General features: G+C 39.2%; 1 protein-coding gene across 1 annotated transcript in view, besides 3 other annotated features; it reads right to left on the minus strand.

The window, feature by feature from the left end:
* The window catches only part of LGSN (lengsin, lens protein with glutamine synthetase domain), a 297,657-nt gene that overhangs the window by 169,501 nt on the left and 109,421 nt on the right, over nucleotides 1-18,735 (minus strand). The gene's annotated exons all lie outside the window — the stretch shown is intronic.
* Nucleotides 13,071-13,570: an enhancer, noted in NCBI's record as "500 bp enhancer 15 fragment used in low-throughput reporter constructs". NCBI's record gives its function as "activates both an SV40 promoter and a TATA-containing promoter in HepG2 cells {active_cell/tissue: HepG2}" and the evidence as "EXISTENCE:reporter gene assay evidence [ECO:0000049][PMID:23512712]".
* Nucleotides 13,249-13,393: an enhancer, noted in NCBI's record as "145 bp enhancer 15 fragment used in the MPRA reporter construct; PK_construct_45". NCBI's record gives its function as "activates an SV40 promoter by MPRA in HepG2 cells {active_cell/tissue: HepG2}" and the evidence as "EXISTENCE:reporter gene assay evidence [ECO:0000049][PMID:23512712]".
* Nucleotides 13,314-13,327: a transcriptional cis regulatory region, noted in NCBI's record as "HNF1 motif; enhancer activity is lost when this motif is scrambled". NCBI's record gives its function as "necessary for full MPRA enhancer 15 activity {active_cell/tissue: HepG2}" and the evidence as "EXISTENCE:site-directed mutagenesis evidence [ECO:0005528][PMID:23512712]".

The raw sequence follows: 18,735 nt of genomic DNA on the forward strand, positions 1-18,735 counted from the left end.
TAATGAAAATACAAAAAAATAGCCAGTGTGGTGGCAGGCGCTTGTAGTCCCAGCTACTTGGGAGGCTGAGGCACAAGAATCGCTTGAACCTGGAAGGTGGAGGTTGCAGTGAGCAGAGATCCTGCCACTGCACTCCAGCCTGGGTGACAGAACAAGACCCTGTCTCAAAAAAAATAATAAAAATAAAAAAGAAGAATCTCATGCCTTGTATAAGAATTAAGAATGTGTGGTCATTACCTTCAATATCAGCATAGATTTAGAGACTTTTGTTTATAATAAAATACTTAATATGTTTGGAAGCTTTATAAACTCTCATCTGAATTACTACAATTGCCTGCCAACTGTGTTCTTCTTTCCACCCTAGGTTCCTTATCATCTATTCTCCATTCATAACACAGCCATAGTGATCCTTCTGAAGTATCTCAGACATCTCAACCCCCACCGCCCCATGACCTCTCCATCATCACACTCCAAGTAAAAGCATCTTGACAATGGCCTACAAAGTGTACATGATCAGCCGGGTGTCGTGGCTCACGCCTGTAATCCCAGCACTTTGGAAGGCTGAGGCAGGCAGGTCACTCGAGGTCAGGAGTTCGAGACCAGCCCAGCCAATACGGTGAAACCCCATCTCTACTAAAAATACAAAAATTAGCCGGGCCATGGTGGCACATTCCTGTAGTCCCAACTACTCAGGAGGCTGAGGCAGGAGAATCATTTGAACCTGGGAGGCAGATTTTGCAATGAGCAGAGATCGGCCACTGCACTCCAGCCTGGGCGACGAGACTGTGTCTCAAAAAAAAAAAAAAAAAAAAACGAACAGTGTACATGATGGCATGCCCTCTCACCTCACTGACTGGATTGCCTCCCCATCACTCTGCCCAGGAAATGGGCCTTCTCACAGTTTCTCAAACATACCAAGCACATTCCCACCCCCAGAGCTTAATCTATCTCCCTCTACCCTGTCATAATATTTAAGAACTTCACACCCGATATCATTTATTAATTTATTATGCTTATTTTCTGCCTCCTTCTGCTAGAATATAAGTTTCACGAGGTCAAGGATTTTGTTTACTAAGGTAACCTCTTCAGTAGAACAGCAACGAGCACATAGTATGCACCCAATACAATGTTTGTTGAGTGAATAAATTTGCCATCAATTATGTAAGGCATTATCATTCTATTTCCTAACCTATGAGTTTTGAAAGATTTCTAACATGACCTTGAGCTTTTCAGTTCATGCTGGCTGTTAAGTTGATGTGAGTTGGTGGTCTTACTTGACCCAAGAAAAATACAGTATAGTTGAAAAAAGTAAGTACGGCCGGGAGCAGTGGCTCATGCCTGTAATCCCAGCACTTTGGGAGGCTGAGGCAGGTGGATCACCTGAGGTTGGGAGTTTGAGACCAGCCTGCCCAACTTGGAGAAATCCTGTCTCTACTAAAAATACAAAATTAGCCAGGTGTGGCAGCGGGAGCCTGTAATCCCAGCTACTCAGGAGGCTGAGGCGGGAGAATCACTTGAACCCAGGAGGCGGAGGTTGCAGTGAGCCGAGATCGTGCCGTTGCACTCCAGCCTGGGCAAAAGGAGTGAAACTCCGTCTCAAAAAAATTAAAAAAAAGTTAAGCTCAACAAGAATCACTTTAGCATTGGATAGCAGTTAACAGCAAAACAAGTTTGTTGGTTCGTTTTGGAAATCTTGCTAAACTAATGCAGACTCTGCTGTCGGTGTGCTTAATGATAGCAGCCTTTCTGTTTTTATAAACAGTTGTGGAATGGAATATCTGCTAAATGTGAGGGCTGGCATGTCTCTACCTCAATAAAGTTCTGGCTTTTTTGACATCTATTGTGACCACTCAGGGGCCTTTTTAATTTATGTTTGGAGTCACAGCTGCATGTTTAGGTTGGGTTGCCAGAAGTCTGACTGCCAAATAAGCAGTGTTGCTATATTTAGAAATGAAATAGTAGTCTACAAAATAGAATATCTGGTGTTGCTACCTTACTTGGCTCTATGTTACTGGGATTAACTTGGGATTTTTAAAAGTTAGTAATATGTATATGAAATAACTATTTTGAATATCTTAGTAAAGATGAAAAGTTATGTCTAGCAAGATTTACTGTCCAGGTAAATACAATCTTTATAGTGTTCTTAAATCTATTTCCCTGTTAATCTATCCTAATGACTATAAGGAGTCAAAATAACTGTTAGCATCCTATTCATTTTTCAGAATATTCTTGTCACAATCTTGGAATTTCTATTACTTTGGAAACTATAAATATAATAAATATTACAATAACTTTTATGTCAAAATCTTTCATTTATTTGTGCCTCTAACCTTTGGGCAGTCTTCATGAAACTCCCTATTTGAGTTAGTTTGTAGATGCTAATTTCAGGTATGGAATGCTATGAAACATGTTATTGATAATTAAATGATGGCACTTCTCCATAACTCAAAGTAGGAAATCCAATAAGTTGTCCAACAAAATTTAGATGCCATCCTACAAGAAACTCAAAGAGCCTAGTGAATTATATTTGTCAGCAATACTCATCTGATTCTCATAGTTCCATAAAAGAATGATTCTTTCATTAAAATATTATTTTGTATAGTTGTGCCTCATAAAATAATAATATTTCATCTCAGAATGAGGTGCTTTTAAATTAAGAACAAAACAATCTCTCCTTCAAGTTACAAAGTACTTGGCAAACCTTCTGGATAAAAGACACCATGCTAATATAGAACATTACTATCTCACTATGTTATTTTACAATGTCCTAAGTAAATTTTTGTGATACGAGGAAAATATAAAACAAAAAAGGCTCACCATGTACAAAAAGGACAACTGGACATCTTATACTTTTATATCAGAGAATCAGCTATTCAGATTGGTTTGAAAAGCTAAAATTTAGCTTATGCCTAAATCTCCCATGAGTTCATCCTTATTTACTAAACGTCATATGAAAGGTTAAGTATTTTAAGCATGAGTCATAGGGACAACTTTCTAGGGCATTTCAAACGAAATCTATGAAAAATTAACAAGCTATCACGGAGGGTGTCTCAGGGATCCTACTCTGCCCCTCCCTGTCTCTGGAAAGGGAGGTAGGGAGAGAAGACAGGCAGGCCCAACCCCTAAGTATTATACACCCTCGATCATTAAAAAAAAAAAGTTAACAAATTTGGTCCAGTTACATGGCATATTAAATCCACATTTTTTTATTTTTTGTTATTGTTGTTTTTGTAGTTTTCTTCTTATTCTTTTTGTTTCTTTTTTCTTCTTTTTTTTCATTTTTGTTAAAATTCACATTTTTATCTTGACTTCTACCCCAAATAGAGTCTGCCTTCTGTGTCATGGATTTCACATTTGCAGATTCAACCAATCATGGACCAAAAATACTCAGAAAAAAAATAAATAACTCAGAGGTTAAAAGTGTGTTTAACAAGATAAAATAGAAGAGAAAAAATAACAACATAACAACAAAAAATACAAATTTTTAAGTACAGTATAACAACTATTTGTATAGCATTTTACACTGTATTTGATATTATAAGTAATTTAGAGATGAGTTAAAGTATATTGGAAGGATGTAACTGGGTTACATGCAAATACTACGCCATTTTATATAAGGAACTTGAGTTCTGGGGATTTTGGTATCTGCCAGCGGCAGGATTGCGGATAGGTCCTGGAACCAATGCCCTGCAGACACAGAGAGACAACTGTACCTATAAAATGACAGTTATGAAATTTTAAATAAATAAACCCACCAGGACAGCAGAGAAAGAGAGAGCCAACATAAAAGCAAAGGAGGAAAAGCATAAAAGAAAAGAAAAAGACAGGCTGGGCGCGGTGGCTCCTGCACTTTGGGAGGCCGAGGCGGGCGGATCACAAGGTCAAGAGATCAAGACCATCAAGGCCAACGTGGTAAAACCCTGTCTCTACTAAAAATACAAAAACTAGCCGGGCGTGGTGGTGGGTGCCTGTAGTCCCAGCTACTCAGGAGGCTGAGGCAGGAGAATCACTTGAACCTAGGAGGCAGAGGTTGCAGTGAGCCGAGATCACACCACTGCCCTCCAGCCTGGCAACAGAGCGAGACTCCGTCAAAAAAAAAAAAAAGAAAAGAAAGAAATAATCTGGGATAATGGTGACTAGAAATTCAAAATGGCAATTGTTCAAAATTCCTAGAAAACAACCAGTCCAAACTGGATCAAGAAGATAAAAGAAAGGGTATCCCCCCAGAGAAAGAAAACAAAAATGAGTATCTGATGTTTGAGGCTATTCAGAAAAGATTTTTCAGTCGTAGGTAGTTTCAGGATAAAATAGTGGTTGGATCCTAAGAAACAACAGAAACAAAACACTAACACTGAACAATACTAAATAGAATATACAACTAGTTGAACAAGTAATGTAAGCCACTATGTGGCTTAGCTGAAAATAATGAGCTGTCACATAATAACATAAACACAATTATTTATCAAATGAAAACATACCCTTTTTAGGGAATGTGTGAGACATGGAGAAGCATGTATCTGAATGTGTGTGTGAGAGAGAGAGTCTGAGAAAAAGAACAAAGCCCTCATCTTCCTTAGTAGAAAACCAATTAATAATGTCTAAAATTGAAAAATGGCCAGGCATGGTGGCTCACGCCTGTAACCCCAGCACTTTGGGAGGCTGAGGCGGGTGGATCACATGAGGTCAGGAGTTCTAGACCAGCCTGGCCAACATGGTGAAACCCCATCTCTACTAAAAAATGCAAAAAAAAAAAAAAAAAAATTAGCCAGGCATGGTGGTGAGCACCTGTAATCCCAGCTACTCAGGAGGCTGAGGCAGGAGAATCGCTTGAACCTGGGAGGCAAAGGTTGCAGTGAGCAGAGATTGCACACTGCACTCCAGCCTGGGCGACAGAGTGAGACTCCATCTCAAAAATAAATAATAAATAAATAAATAAAATTTAAAAATAAGCAAGGTGTGGTGGCAGGCCCTGTAATCCCAGCTACTCAGGAGTCTGAGTCAGGAGAATCTCTTGAATCCGGAGGCAGAGGTTGCAGTGAGCCAAGACTGTGCCACTGAACTCAAGCCTGGGCAACAAGAGCAAAACTAAACTCCACCTCAAAAAAAAAAAGAAAAGAAAAATAATTTTTTAAAAAACGTTAGTAAACATGTTATCTATGAACATAAAGGTAAATAAAAAAGCAAAAAACAAGAACAAAACAGCTAAAAATTGAAAAAGATTATAATGGTTTTTTTTTTTTAGACTGAGTCTTGCTCTGTGGCCCAGACTGGAGTGTAGCAGGGCAGTCTTGACTCACTGCAACCTCCACCTCCTGGGTTCAAGTGATTCTCTTGTCTCAGCCACCTGAGTAGCTGGGACTGCAGGTGCACGCCATCACACCTGGCCAATTTTTTGTATTTTTGGTAGAGATAAGGTTTCGCCATGTTGCCCAGGCTGGTCTCGAATTCCTGAGCTCAGACAATCCCCCTGGCCTTGGCCTCCCAAAGTGCTAGGATTACAGGTGTGAGCCACCACACCCGGCTGTAATGGTTTTCAAGAAAGCAAAAATCAAAAGGGACAGGGCACTCCTTTTTTATGTCTAGTAATACTATTTTAAATGTTTTCATTGATTAAAATAAATTTAAGATTAAAAAACAGCTAAATGAAAAAAAGACAGCTAAATGAAAAAAATCATACACTGTTGGTGGGAGTGTAAATTAGTTCAACCATTGTGGAAGACAGTGTGATGATTCCTCAAAGATCTAAAAATAGAAATACCATTGGACCCAGCAATTCCATTACTGGATATACACTCAAAGGAATATAAATCATTCTATTATAAAGACACATACATGTGTATATTCATTGCAGCACTATTCACAATAGCAAAGAAGACATTAATTCAACATAAATGCCCATCAAAGATAGACTGGGTAGAGAAAATGTGGTACATATACAACATGGAACACTATGCAGCTGTATAAAAGAATGAGATCATGTCCTTTGCAGGGGCATGGGTGGAGCTAGAGGCCATTATCCTTAGCAAACTAATGCAGGAACAGAAAACCAAATACCACATAGTTGTAGCTCTCACTTGTAAGTGGGAGTTAAATGATGAGAACACATGGAAACACAGAGGGGAACAACACAAACTGGGGCCTATTAGAGGGTGGAGGGTAGGAGGAGGGAGAGGATCAGGAAAAATAACTAATGGGTACAAGGCTTAATAACTGGGTGATGAAATAATCTGTACAACAAACCCCCATGACACAAGTTTACCTATGTAACAAACCTGCATATGTACCTCTGAATGTAAAATAAAAATTAATTAAAAAAAAAGAAAAAAGTAACATAAAAAATGCATACATATATCTTATGCATCAATTGAGATGGTCACACAATTTTTCGTCTGTTGATGTGTATTATTTTGATGGATTTAAAATTTTTAAACTAAATTTAAATTCCTAGAATAAACTCACTTGGACATGATCTATTACTTTTTATATATCACTGAATTTAATTCTGTAATAGTTTGGATTCCATTGATTAGAAGGAAAAAAATACTCTGTTAAGAATTTTTGCATCTTTGTTTATGAGAAATATTAGAATTTTGTTTTCTTGTCTTTTTTTTTTTTTTTTAAGGTCTTCATTAGAGTAATGCTGGTCCCATAAAGTGAGTTGGGACATGATCTCTCCTTTTTTATTTTCCGGAAGAGTTTGTGGAGAATTAGTATTTTTTCTTTAAATCAAATGTTTGGTAGGTTTCACCAAACTGTCTGAGCCTGGAGTTTTCTTTGTTGGTTTTTCGTTTGTTTGTTTATTATTCTTTATTTTAGAGACAGGATTGTCCTCTGTCACCTAGACTGGAGTACAGTGGCGCAATCATAGCTCACTGCAACCTCAAGCTCGTGGGCTGAAGCAATACTCCTGCCTCAGCCTCTGGAGTTGCTGGGATTACAGGCATGAGCCACCACACCCAGCAACCTGGGGTTTCTTTGCAGAAAAATTTTTCACTGTGACTTTTATGGATTTTATTAGGCTATTCAGATTTTCTGTCTCTTCTTGAGTAAACTCTGGTAGTTTGTGACTTCAAAGGAATTTGCAAAGCTCATCTGTTTTCAAATATATTGAAAAAAATTCATAATATATTTATTTTTTTTAAGTATTTGTAGGAAATGTAATGATGTCCCCGATTTTATTCCTAATATTGGTATGTTATCTTTCTCTCTCTCTCTCTCTCTCTCTGTCTCTCTCTTTTCTGTCAGTCTGGCTACAAGTTTATCAGTTGTATTGATCTTTGCAAAGAAGTAGTGTTGCATTCCATTTTTTTTCTTCTTTTTTCTGCTTTCTATCTTATTGATTTCATCTCTTATTTTTATTACTTTCTTCTTTATGCCTACTTTAGCCTTAATTTGCCCCTTTTTTTCTAGTATGTTAAGATTGAAGCTTGGATCATTAATGTGAGAACTTTCTTCTTTTTGAATATATGCATTTAATGTTATAACTTTCCAACCAAGTGCTGTTTGGGTCACACTAACAAATCCTAATAGGTTTTGTTTTCATTTGGTTTCATTCAAAATATTTTATAATTTTAACTATGGTATCTTCTTTGACTCGTATTTTATTAAAAGCATAGTGTTTAGTTTTTTAATATTTGGAGATTTTTAATATATCTTTCTGTAATTAATTTCTATTTCTATTTTCTTTTGGCCAGAGAACATACATTGTATTATTTTATCTCAATTCAGTTAAGTTTAATGAGATTTGTATGGCCTGGAATATGGTCTATCTTGGTGAATGTTACATTTGCACTTGAAAAGAATATGTACTCTGCTGCTGTTACATGGAGTTTTCTATAAATAAACAGATCATGTTGGTTGTCTTCTATGTCCTTTCTAATTTTCTCTCTATGTGTTCTATTAGTTACTAAAAAAAAGAGTTGATATATACAACTACAATTGTAGATTTATATATTTCTCCTTTCAGTTCTCTAAGTGTTTTACTTCAGGTATTTAGGAGCTCTGTTTTTAGTGCATATACACTTAGGATTGCCAGGTCTTCTTCAACTGATCCCTTTATTGTAATGTAATGTTCTTCATTACCCCTGGTAATATTTTTTATCATAATGTCAACTCTGATTTTAATAGAACCACCCTGCTTTTTTTTTTGTTTGCATGGTATATTGTTTTCTGTTCTTTTACTTTGAACAAACATCTGTCATTATAATTTTTTCTTTTTTTGAGACAGAGTCTCGCTCTGTTGCCCAGGCTGGAGTGCAGTGGCGGGATCTCGGCTCACTGCAAGCTCCGCCTCCCGGGTTCACACCATTCTCCTGCCTCAGCCTCCCAAGTAGCTGGAACTACAGGCGCCCGCCACCACGCCCGGCTAATTTTTTGTATTTTGTTTAGTAGAGACAGGGTTTCACTGTGTCAGCCAAGATGGTCTCGGTCTCCTGACCTCGTGATCCACCTGCCTCGGCCTCCCAAAGTGCTAGGATTACAGGCGTGAGCCACCGCGCCCGGCCGTCATTATAATTAATCCTCAAAACAATTCAATAAACTAGGTACAGTTATTATCCCCAATTTACATGTAGGAAAACTGATACAGAGCATTCAATACTGCCCCTTGCTGCCTCTCCATTCAGCCTGTTTCCAGAGCTTTTAGTGTTCTCCTGATGCTACTTCTCAAATATGTTCAGATTTTAATATTTTTAGTGTCTTTTTTATTCATTTACCATCTAATGTAAATTAAATACTCAAAATAATGTGTGTTTTTTCCTGTCACCGTTATGGGACCACAGTAAGGCTATTAGCATTTTGCATGAGGGAAGTTTAAATACAGATTGAAACACTTTTAATTTCCTTGGATAGGTACTGGAGAAAAAATAAATTCTTACCACATTTCTATGGACATCAATATTAAACCCCAGTTCTTTTTTGATTCCCAGTTGACTAATTTCAGCTTAAGTAAACTAGTAATTTAGTCGTTAACAGATAAGAGGCTTGAGGCCAGCTCTATACTAGAAGTTTTTACATTTTCTTTTTTTTTTTTTTTTTTTTGAGACAGAGTCCTGTTCTGTCACAAGGGCTGGAGTGCAGTGGCGTGATCTCAGCTCACTGCAACCTCCGCCTCCCGGGTTCAAGCAGTTCTCTGCCTCAGCTTCCCAAGTAGCTGAGATTACAGGCGCCCGCCACCATCCCCGGCTAATTTTTGTATTTTCAGTAGAGATGGGGTTTCACCATTTTGGCCAAGCTGTTCTTGAACTCTTGACCTCGTGATCCATCTGCCTCAGCCTCCCGAAGTGCTGGGATTACAGGCGTGAGCCACCGCGCCTGGCCCTACGTTTTCTTTTTTTCTTTTTCTTTTTTTTTTTTTTTTTTTGAGACGGAGTCTTTGTCTGTCACCCAGGCTGGAGTGTAATGGCAATCTCTGCTCGCTGCAACCTCCACGTCCTGAGTTCAAGTGTTTCTCCTGCCTCAGCCTCCCAAGTAGCTGGGATTACAGGCACCTGCCACCACGCCCGGCTAATTTTTGTATTTTTGGTAGAGACAGGGTTTCACCACGTTGGCCAGGCTGGTCTTGAACTTGTGACCTCAGGTGATCCAGCCACCTTGGCCTCCCAAAGTGCTGGGATTACAGGCGTGAGCCACCACGCCTGGCCAAGTTTTTACATTTTCTATAAGGAAGTTAGCCACAACATCCCACCAATAGAACCAACTGGATCTCAGTTACAAGGAAAAAACAAATAGCTCAGCGCATTCTGAGCTATGTGAGACATGCAAACTTTATCCAGTTCAGAAAGACAGGAATATGGGACTTCACTCTCCCTATCCTCCCACACCAGCACCCATGCCCAAGGGCAATTTCTGAAAGGGATTTTGTTTCTGACCAAACTGCCTCACCCATTATCTTCAGGTACCTGGCATTTGTGATACAAAGAACAATGCATAGCCAATCAATAGCTTAAGCTATTTTAATATAAATTCTCGTAAAACAACTTAGAAATCCCCTCTTCTTTTTTCATTTAAAAACTCATTTGTGAGTGGGGCGAGGTGGCTCACTCCTGTAATCCTAGCACTTTGGGAGGCCGAGGCGGATGGATCACCTGGGGTCAGGAGTTCAAGACCAGCCTGACCAACATGATGAAACCCCGTCTCTACTATAAATACAAAATTAGGTGGGCACAGTGGCATGTGCCTGTAATCCCAGCTACTTGGGAGGCTGAGTCAGGAGAATCACTAGAACCCGGGAGGCAGAGGTTGTAGTGAGCTGAGATCGCATCATTGCACTCCAGCCTGGGCAACAAGAGTGAAACTCCGTCTCAAAATAAAAATAAAAATAAATAAAAACTCATCTGTGGCCCAGAGGCACAGTGGCTCAGGATTATCATCCCAGCACTTTGGGAGGCTGAGGCAGGAGGATCACTAGAGCCCAGGAGTTCAAGACCACACTGGGCAACACAGCGAGACCCTGTCTCAAAAAGAAAAAAAATTAACTTTTGATTATTAAAAACAAGAGCCAGGTGCAGTGGCTCACGCCTGTAATCCCAGCACTTTGGGAGGCTAAGGTGGGTGGATCACAAGATCAGGAGTTCGGGACCAGCCTGGCCAACATAGTGAAACCCCGTCTCTACTAAAAATACAAAAAAATTAGCCAGGTCTGATGGTGGGCACCTGTAATCCCAGCTACCTGGGAGGCTGAGGCAGGAGAATCCCTTGAATCCGGGAGGTAAAGGTTGCAGTGAGCCAAGATCACGCCACTGTACTCCAGCCCTGGGGACAGTGGGAGACTCCATCTAAAAAAAAAAGTAAAAGTTAAAAAATTAAAACTCACTTGTAACTTCTGCTAATTGGAGCATATCTTCAGGGCACCTTGAGTCTATACTCCCAGGTTGCAGACCTCAAACTTGGCAGAAATATACATATATATATATATATATATATATATATATATATATATATACTTTTTTTTTTTTTTTGGTAGAGACGAGGGTCTGCCTATGTTGCCCAGACTGGTCTCAAACTCCTAGACTCAAGCGCCCCTCAGCCTCCCAAAGTACTGGGATTACAGCCATGAGCCACCACACAAACGATCTTCTTGTTTGCCTCAGTTTTTTTGTTCAGGTTGACAGTTATTAGTTCATGTCACAGAAGAGAGTAAACCTGTAAGTTGTGCTCCCTGGAATATACCACACTGCCCCTCATACTCAATAGAGCCTCCTCATTCTGCAGCAGCTCCTTAGAGCTTGGGCTATGGGTCTGTCACCAGACGTAGCCTCTGTTCCTAACAGACTGAAAATTCTGGCACTGGCCAAAGAACAAGAGGCTTAGGAGCCATTTTATAGCACCCCCTTCATCAAAGCAGAGAAGGGAAGAAAGCAGAGAAGGGAAGAAATTCTTTGCCACTAGATCAGGCTCCAAGCACATTGTTGCAGGCTTCTCTGAATGAGTTACTCAAGGAATTCTGTAGGCTTTACCCTGAGCAAAAGTTTCCAACAAAACAGTTCAGAGTTCCTGAACCTCTACCCATTTCATTGTACTGCTTCTCCACCTTAATATGGAGAAAACAACCTTATTCAAAAGTCAAAATGCTTGACCTCATTAAGGAATGCTGCTCACCTGGAGCATTCCCCTCATTCTCACCCTCATCATTTAGAGACCATTGATATTTTAAATGCCTAACAAGTGGTTGCTTAGTCCACACTACACCAAATATTGGTTTGACTGATTTTCTTTCATACTGTTATTTTGTCATCTTGTAGATATATTTCTACTTTCTAAAAATATAGTTTGGACCGGGCGTGGTGGCTCACACCCGTAATCCACCACTTTGGGAGTCCGAGGCGGGTGGATCACTTGAGGTCAGGAGTTCGAGACCAGCCTGGCCAACATGGTGAAACCCCATCTCTAATAAAAATACAAAATTTAGCCAGTCGTGGTGGCACATGCCTGTAGTCCCAGCTACTCGGGAGGCTGAGGCACAAGAATCACTTTAACCCAGGAGGTGGAGGCTGCAGTGAGCCAAGATTGCACCACTGCACTCCAGCCTGGGCAACAAAACCAGACCCTGTCTCAAAAAATAATAAATTAAATTAAAATATAGTCTGGCAATCCAATAATCCAGGTATTTTTCTATCTGGAATTTAGGTTTTTAAATTCAAATCAGGCCGGGCATGGTGGCTTACGCCTGTAATTCCAGAACTTTGGGAGGCCGAGGCAGGCAGATTACTTGAAGTCAGGAGTCCAAGACCAGCGTGGCCAATGTGGTGAAAGCCCGTCTCTCCTAAAAATACAAAAAATTAGCCAGACATGGTAGTGGGTGCCTGTAATCCCAGTTACTCAGGAGGCTGAGGCAGGAGAATCACTTGAAGCCAAGAGGCACAGGTTGCAGTGAGCTGAGATTGCACCACTGCACTCGAGCCTGGGCTACAAAGTGAGACTCCATTTCAAATAAATAAATTAATTAATTAATTAAAATAAATTCAAATCAGATTTAACTAATACTTTCACATATTTACCATCTACAAGGCACTAGGTTGGAAACCTTTATTTAATGTCATAGTAGCACAAGGTCAAGCTATTATTTTCACAATTCTTTCTCCAGTGATTATAATTTCATTTATTTTTATTTTTATTTATTTATTTATTTATTTTTAGACAGAGTTTCCCTCTTGTTACCCAGGCTGGAGTGCAATGGCACTATCTCAGCTCACTGCAGCCTCCACCTCTGGGGTTCAAGCGATTCTCCTGCCTCAGCCTCCCGAGTAGCTGGGATTACAGGCATGTGCCCCCACGCCCGGCTAATTTTGTATTTTTAGTATAGACGGGGTCTCTCCATGTTAGTCAGGCTGGTCTCGAATTCCCGACCTCAGGTGATCCACCCACCTCGGCCTCCCAAAGTGCTGGAATTGCAGGCATAAGCCATCGGGCCCGGCTAGCCTTTCATTTTATAAAGTGACCATATATATTAGCGTTGGAAACAAATGCTGTGCCTATAATTTTCTAGATTTTTTTCACTTCAGTTTCTACAACTATGACATTGTTACCGTGTTTATATATACCTTCCTTCAGAACAAAGGGTAAACAGTAATTCTGCACTTATGTTAAAAAAAGAACTGAGTTGAAAGCCTGAAGATCTCGGTCCTAGGACCCAGCTAAGGTTGGAGGACTGTGTGAAAGTTACCCAAACATTCTCGGTCTTGGTTTCATTGCCTATGACATTAAAAGATTAGACTGGGTTCTCGCTAGGGACCTCTCTAATTCTAGGAGTCTGAAAAGCCTTCAGAGAGAGAATGTACTTTGGAAACAACTAACCAGGTGTATGTTTTTCGAAGTGTTAATGATTGCTAGGTTGTGACACTGAAATCAGTAAAACACGAATCAAATATTTACACATACCTTCCATGCAGTGTATTTTCCATCATGGGAAGGTATTGGGCAATGGAAAATTTCTCAAATACTTTTACTGGAAGAGACAAATTAGGCTCAGTTTTTTGTTACCATTATGTAAAGTTTGTAATAATGCTATGTGAAACCCTTTGTTTATTCATAGATGAAAATACCATGTCGAGAATTATTCAGCAAGTTGCTCTCAGACTAAGATGCTTATGACTTGCTTTAGAGTGTTTTCCTTTACATAAGATTTTACCTGAAAGACCAAGTCTATTGTTGTATTATTAACAATTATAATTCAAAATGTCAACAATGTTTCCATTAATTATAGGCATTGTTCCTTAAAGCTGGCCTAAAATGGAAGTCAGAAATCAGGGTTTGAAGGTAAAATGTCAAACCATTTTGGTTCTCTCAAAAGATTTTTTTTATGCCGTTTAACTGAATACTCCAATTCTGTCTATGAACTAGGAGAGACCATATTAATGGTTTTCCATGCATTAATACAAAAAGCTTTGGAAAATACGCCACAAGCTTACATGTCTACTGAAGTATATTATAAATTAATTATTGTACTTTTTTGAATTTTAAATTTTCTGTTTAAATTTTCAATCTATTCATTATAGGATCTCACTATGTTGACTAAGTTGGTCTTGAACTCCTGCCCTCAAGCAATCCTCCAACCTCCGCCTCCCAAAATGCTAGAATTAAAGGTGTGAGCCACCATACCCACCCCCGCCGCCCCCAACAAATCTATTCATTCTTTCAGGATGAAGTCTATATGTATATTGCCCATGTTTTGAAGTAGAACTTCCTTTCACTTATTCAGTAGTAATCTTTTTTAAGCTTTACTGGAGGCCTAGGCAGGCAGATCACTGGAGGTCAGGAGTTCGAGAACAGCCTGACCAACATGATGAAACCCTGTCTCTACTAAAAATACAAAAATTAGCCAGGCGTGGTTGTGGGTTCCTGTAATTCCAGCTACTCAGGAGGCTGAGGAAGGAGAATCGCTTGAACCCAGGAGGTGCATCATGCCATTACACTCCAGCCTGGGTGACAAGAGCAAAACTCCATCTCAAAAAATAAAAATAAATTTTAAAAAGAACCTTTTCTGATCACCTAATAATGCTAAAGTTTCCTAGGAATTTGATGACCAACTTCACGTGCTCCATGTCCACACCCTTCATTGTGCAACAAACTTTGCTCATATCTCCTTCTGGGCCTTTTCCACATCAAAATCCTAGTCTTTCAAATCTGCCTTAAATGGAAGATTTCATTCCCTTTTTTTTTTTTTTTTTTTTTTTTTTTTTTTGTATTTTTAGTAGAGACGGAGTTTCAACATGCTGGCCAGCCTGGTCTCGAACTCCTGACCTCGTGATTCACCTGCCTCAGCCTCCCAAAGTCCTGGGATTACAGGCATGAGCCACCACACCCGGCCCCATTCCCTAGCTTTTATTACCCTTCTACTTCTGACCTTCATTCACTTATTTTTAGCTTTATTGTCTTCCTTGAGTGTGATGCCCAAAAACACACCACAGTTTTCTGAGTGAAAGATAACTGTGCTTTCTTTCATGAGTCTAATAACTTTCCTAACAGTAGCCAATATTTCACTTGTCTTGTACTAAATTAATACATTGAAAAACTAAAAGAAAATTTCTATCTTTGAATTTAAATTGACGTCCTTTACTCTTTTACCTTGAAATCATACTTTCTATCATTCATAACTGGATGCTGACCACTGCATTTGCCCATGCTGAATATTATTTGCCACTTCCTTGTTCATTTCTATTATTAGGAGGAATTTTCTTAGTTCCTTCCCTCCTACTATTACTTAAGTGAAAACTATGTTTCCCAGAACAAACCAGCCCAGGGGAAAAAATAATAATCACAATGACAATCAGGCTTGCGGATTTTTCCTTTTCTGTCCCAGCATGCCCGGTGGAAAACTGAACCTCCCAAAAATTAGGAGTGTGTTCTTCTGAATATACTTTTGGCTGTTCTCTTCTGTTCTAGTTCACTAAGGTGATGACTCCTGTTGCCCTTGACACCCAAAACAGTAGCCAATAGACAACATCTACTGAGGAAGTCTCCCACATATCAAAATGTGTATAGTACCACAGGCATCAAAGTCTACACTGAATGTCTGGCATGAGGGGGCCAAGCGTCCCTCAGGAGGGCTTCTATCTTCTGTAGCTACTGGGGCCACTGCCATGCCATCTTGTATCGTAAATGTCTCTGCTGCTGGGTTTTTTGGGTTTTTTCCCCCAAGACGGAGTCTTACTCTGTCGCCCGGGCTGGAGTACAGTGGTGCAATCTCAGCTCACTGCAACCTCTGCCTCCCGGGCTCAAGCCTCCCGAGTAGCTGCGATTACAAGCATGCACCACCATACTGGGCTAATTTTTGTATTACTAGTAGAGATGGGGGTTTCACCGTGTTGGCCATGCTGGTCTCAAAATCCTGATCTCAAGTGATCCACCCACCTCAGCCTTCCACGGTGCTGGGATTACAGGCATAAGCCATCATGCCCAGCCTTGTCTGTGCTCTTTTGGTTTTCTCTTGTTCTCCATTTGTACTCCCTCATCCTGAGATTTAGTCCTGAATCCAAGGAGCCTGAGCTAAAGGATAATTTCTCCCTCAAATACTGGCTGACTGTCTTCAAACCAAGCCCTTGCACATCAACATTGTGAACTTTTTCTTCCCACATGACAAGTTATTTCCTGTGAACTTTCTTGTTTCCAGAATGTGTTCTACATTTACATGATCTAGTTTAATTCTGATGACCACCTCCAGAAGAGATATGCTGCAGTTTTACAGATGGAAAAACAAAGGCATCAAGAAATTACATTAACTACTCTACATTGGACAGTTGGCAAAGGACAGATCCCAAATCAATCTGGTCTTCATACCCCACGGCCCTGAATTATAGCTTCTCTACTTTCTATTAATTTGTATTCCAAATGTGTTGCTTCCTAAACATCATATTATACTGCATCAATGTCAGGAAACCAGAAGCTTGCTCTAAAAGACATGCCCAGACCTTTTTGAATTCTAGTATAAACACAGTTCTGGCTCCAACTCTAATTCTTATCATCTAAGTATGAACATAGATTCTGCATATACTAGTATAGTCCCCTGAGCTTCATTTTTTTTCTCCTGTATGCAATTGGCTAATAATTATTTTCTAGGGTGGGAAAGAATCTGGTACTACTAGGACTTTTCCTTCGTTTCTTCTGCAAGCTTCAGAATTCTTTCTCTTCCAGGTCTTTTCCAAAAGTCATAAATAAGTGTTCTCTGATTCTCCGAGGCAAAGCCTGAACTCTCTTACTCTATAAACTTATCATCTTATAAAAACTTCTCTCAACCCACATATCACACTGCTTTAGAATATTACAGGCCTGTCTTTCCCAGTGGACTGTGAAATACTTGAGAACAAGGATTGTATCTGATTCGGGTATCTGATACCTAGTGTCAGGAAATAATAAGAACTACTAGGAAAACCCATGACTAGTACTCACTGTTTACAAACATATGGCTGGATGTGGTGGCTCACACCTGTAATCCCAGCACTTTGGGAGGCCAAGGCAGGTGGATCACCTGAAGTCAGGAGTTCGAGACCAGCCTGGGCAACATGATGAAACCCTATCTCTACTAAAAATACAAAAAAAAATCAGTTGGACATGGTGATGCATGCCTGTAGTCCCAGCTACTTGGGAGGCTGAGGCAGGAGAATCACTTGAAACTGAGACAGAGGTTGCAGTGAGCTGAGATCGCACCACTGCACAAAACAAATATATTCCTAGATTTTGGTTTTTGTTCTCTAAGCCTTATTACCTAAGAAGTTTACTTCAAACTTTTCACTCACATGCCTCTAACAACCAAGGAGTGTTTCCAGAGTGTCACAAGGCCTACCTCTACAGCGTACTTGCCATAAGTTCAAATTTGATACCTTAATTATTTATCTCAATCTTGCTTCGTCTACATAATCCAATGTGTCCAAGATCATGGTAGATAGGATAAACCGGAACAGAATGCAGATAAATACATTTCTTGTTTTAATAAATATGGATTTATGTTCAGGTGTGTCTTAGGAGAAAATATGACCAGTTGACCAAACTATTGATTTCATGGATATTTTTTCACAAATAAGAATTATAAAGGGAAAACTTGAATAGCTAGATATTTGGAAAACATTACTGTAATGATTTCTTTCTCTTCTGATAGGAGAGACAGCATGAGTGGTAGAAACACAGACTGAAGCTAGACACTTGAGTTTAAATTATGGATCCTCCACTGCTAGTTGTGTAACGTTGGCAAATATCTTAACCTCTCTGTATCTCTGTTTTCCCATCTTTCAGAGGGACATAAAAATTGTGCCTACCTCATAGAGTTGTTGTGAGGATTAAATGAGTGAATATATGTTAAGCATCTAGGATAGTACCTGACATGTATAAAGAACTATCTAAGTATATGCTGATATTATTATCTTTATTCATTATTATTATTTAAAAGAATGTTTTATATTTATGGCAGAATACAACTGAGGCTCCAGTAAGGTGTGCCACAGAAATCTTGTCACCTCATTTTGTCTCATCTGCCACTCTTGTACATTGCTACATATATCTAGGAATGCTAAAATATTCGTATTTGAGAAGCAAATTCCTATAGATTGTTATAAATACATATGATGTTCAAGTTCCTCTTTACTACAATATAAAAGTAATACTTTATTTATTTGCTTTTAATACTTTATGGTCTTGCAAGGCCTTGTACGTTATGTGTGACTGCTGATTCTCTGTAAGAACTCTGGCATATTTATGAGGCATGATATTATTTGGGAAACCATGTTGCTGGGAAAAAACAGGTCATGCTTGTAGGTACTCAACCAAACTAGGCTTTGATGTAGAGTCTTTAATTGTGTAAATAGCACAATTTAGTTAATGACATATGTGTTGAAAACCTGAAATTTAATAGTGCTTTGTAGTATAACAAAGTGTTTTGAATATATCATCTAATTTAATACTTGAACAAACCTGATGTATCAATTTTGCAGACGAGAAAACTTTGTCTCAGAACTATTAGTAAGGGACCAACAAACACTAAGCCAAAAATGGACAGTACCGAATTTCCAATAAGAGTGTGCCCTTATCTTATCTTTTACAGATAAATGGTAATTTGAATTTCCTTCAAAATAATCTAGTTAGGGAAGGGAGCATAAATGAAAAAAAATTGACAATGAACCGATCATTACTGAAGCTGGATTATGGATATTTGTGTTCCATTTTTCTATTCTTTCTACTTTAGTCCATTTTTGAAACTTTCCCTAATTAAAAAAAAAAATAAGTTTAAAGAAAAAATGTGAGACTATG

Source organism: Homo sapiens, chromosome 6, assembly GCF_000001405.40.
Source record: "Homo sapiens chromosome 6, GRCh38.p14 Primary Assembly".
Taxonomy (NCBI): domain Eukaryota; kingdom Metazoa; phylum Chordata; class Mammalia; order Primates; family Hominidae; genus Homo; species Homo sapiens.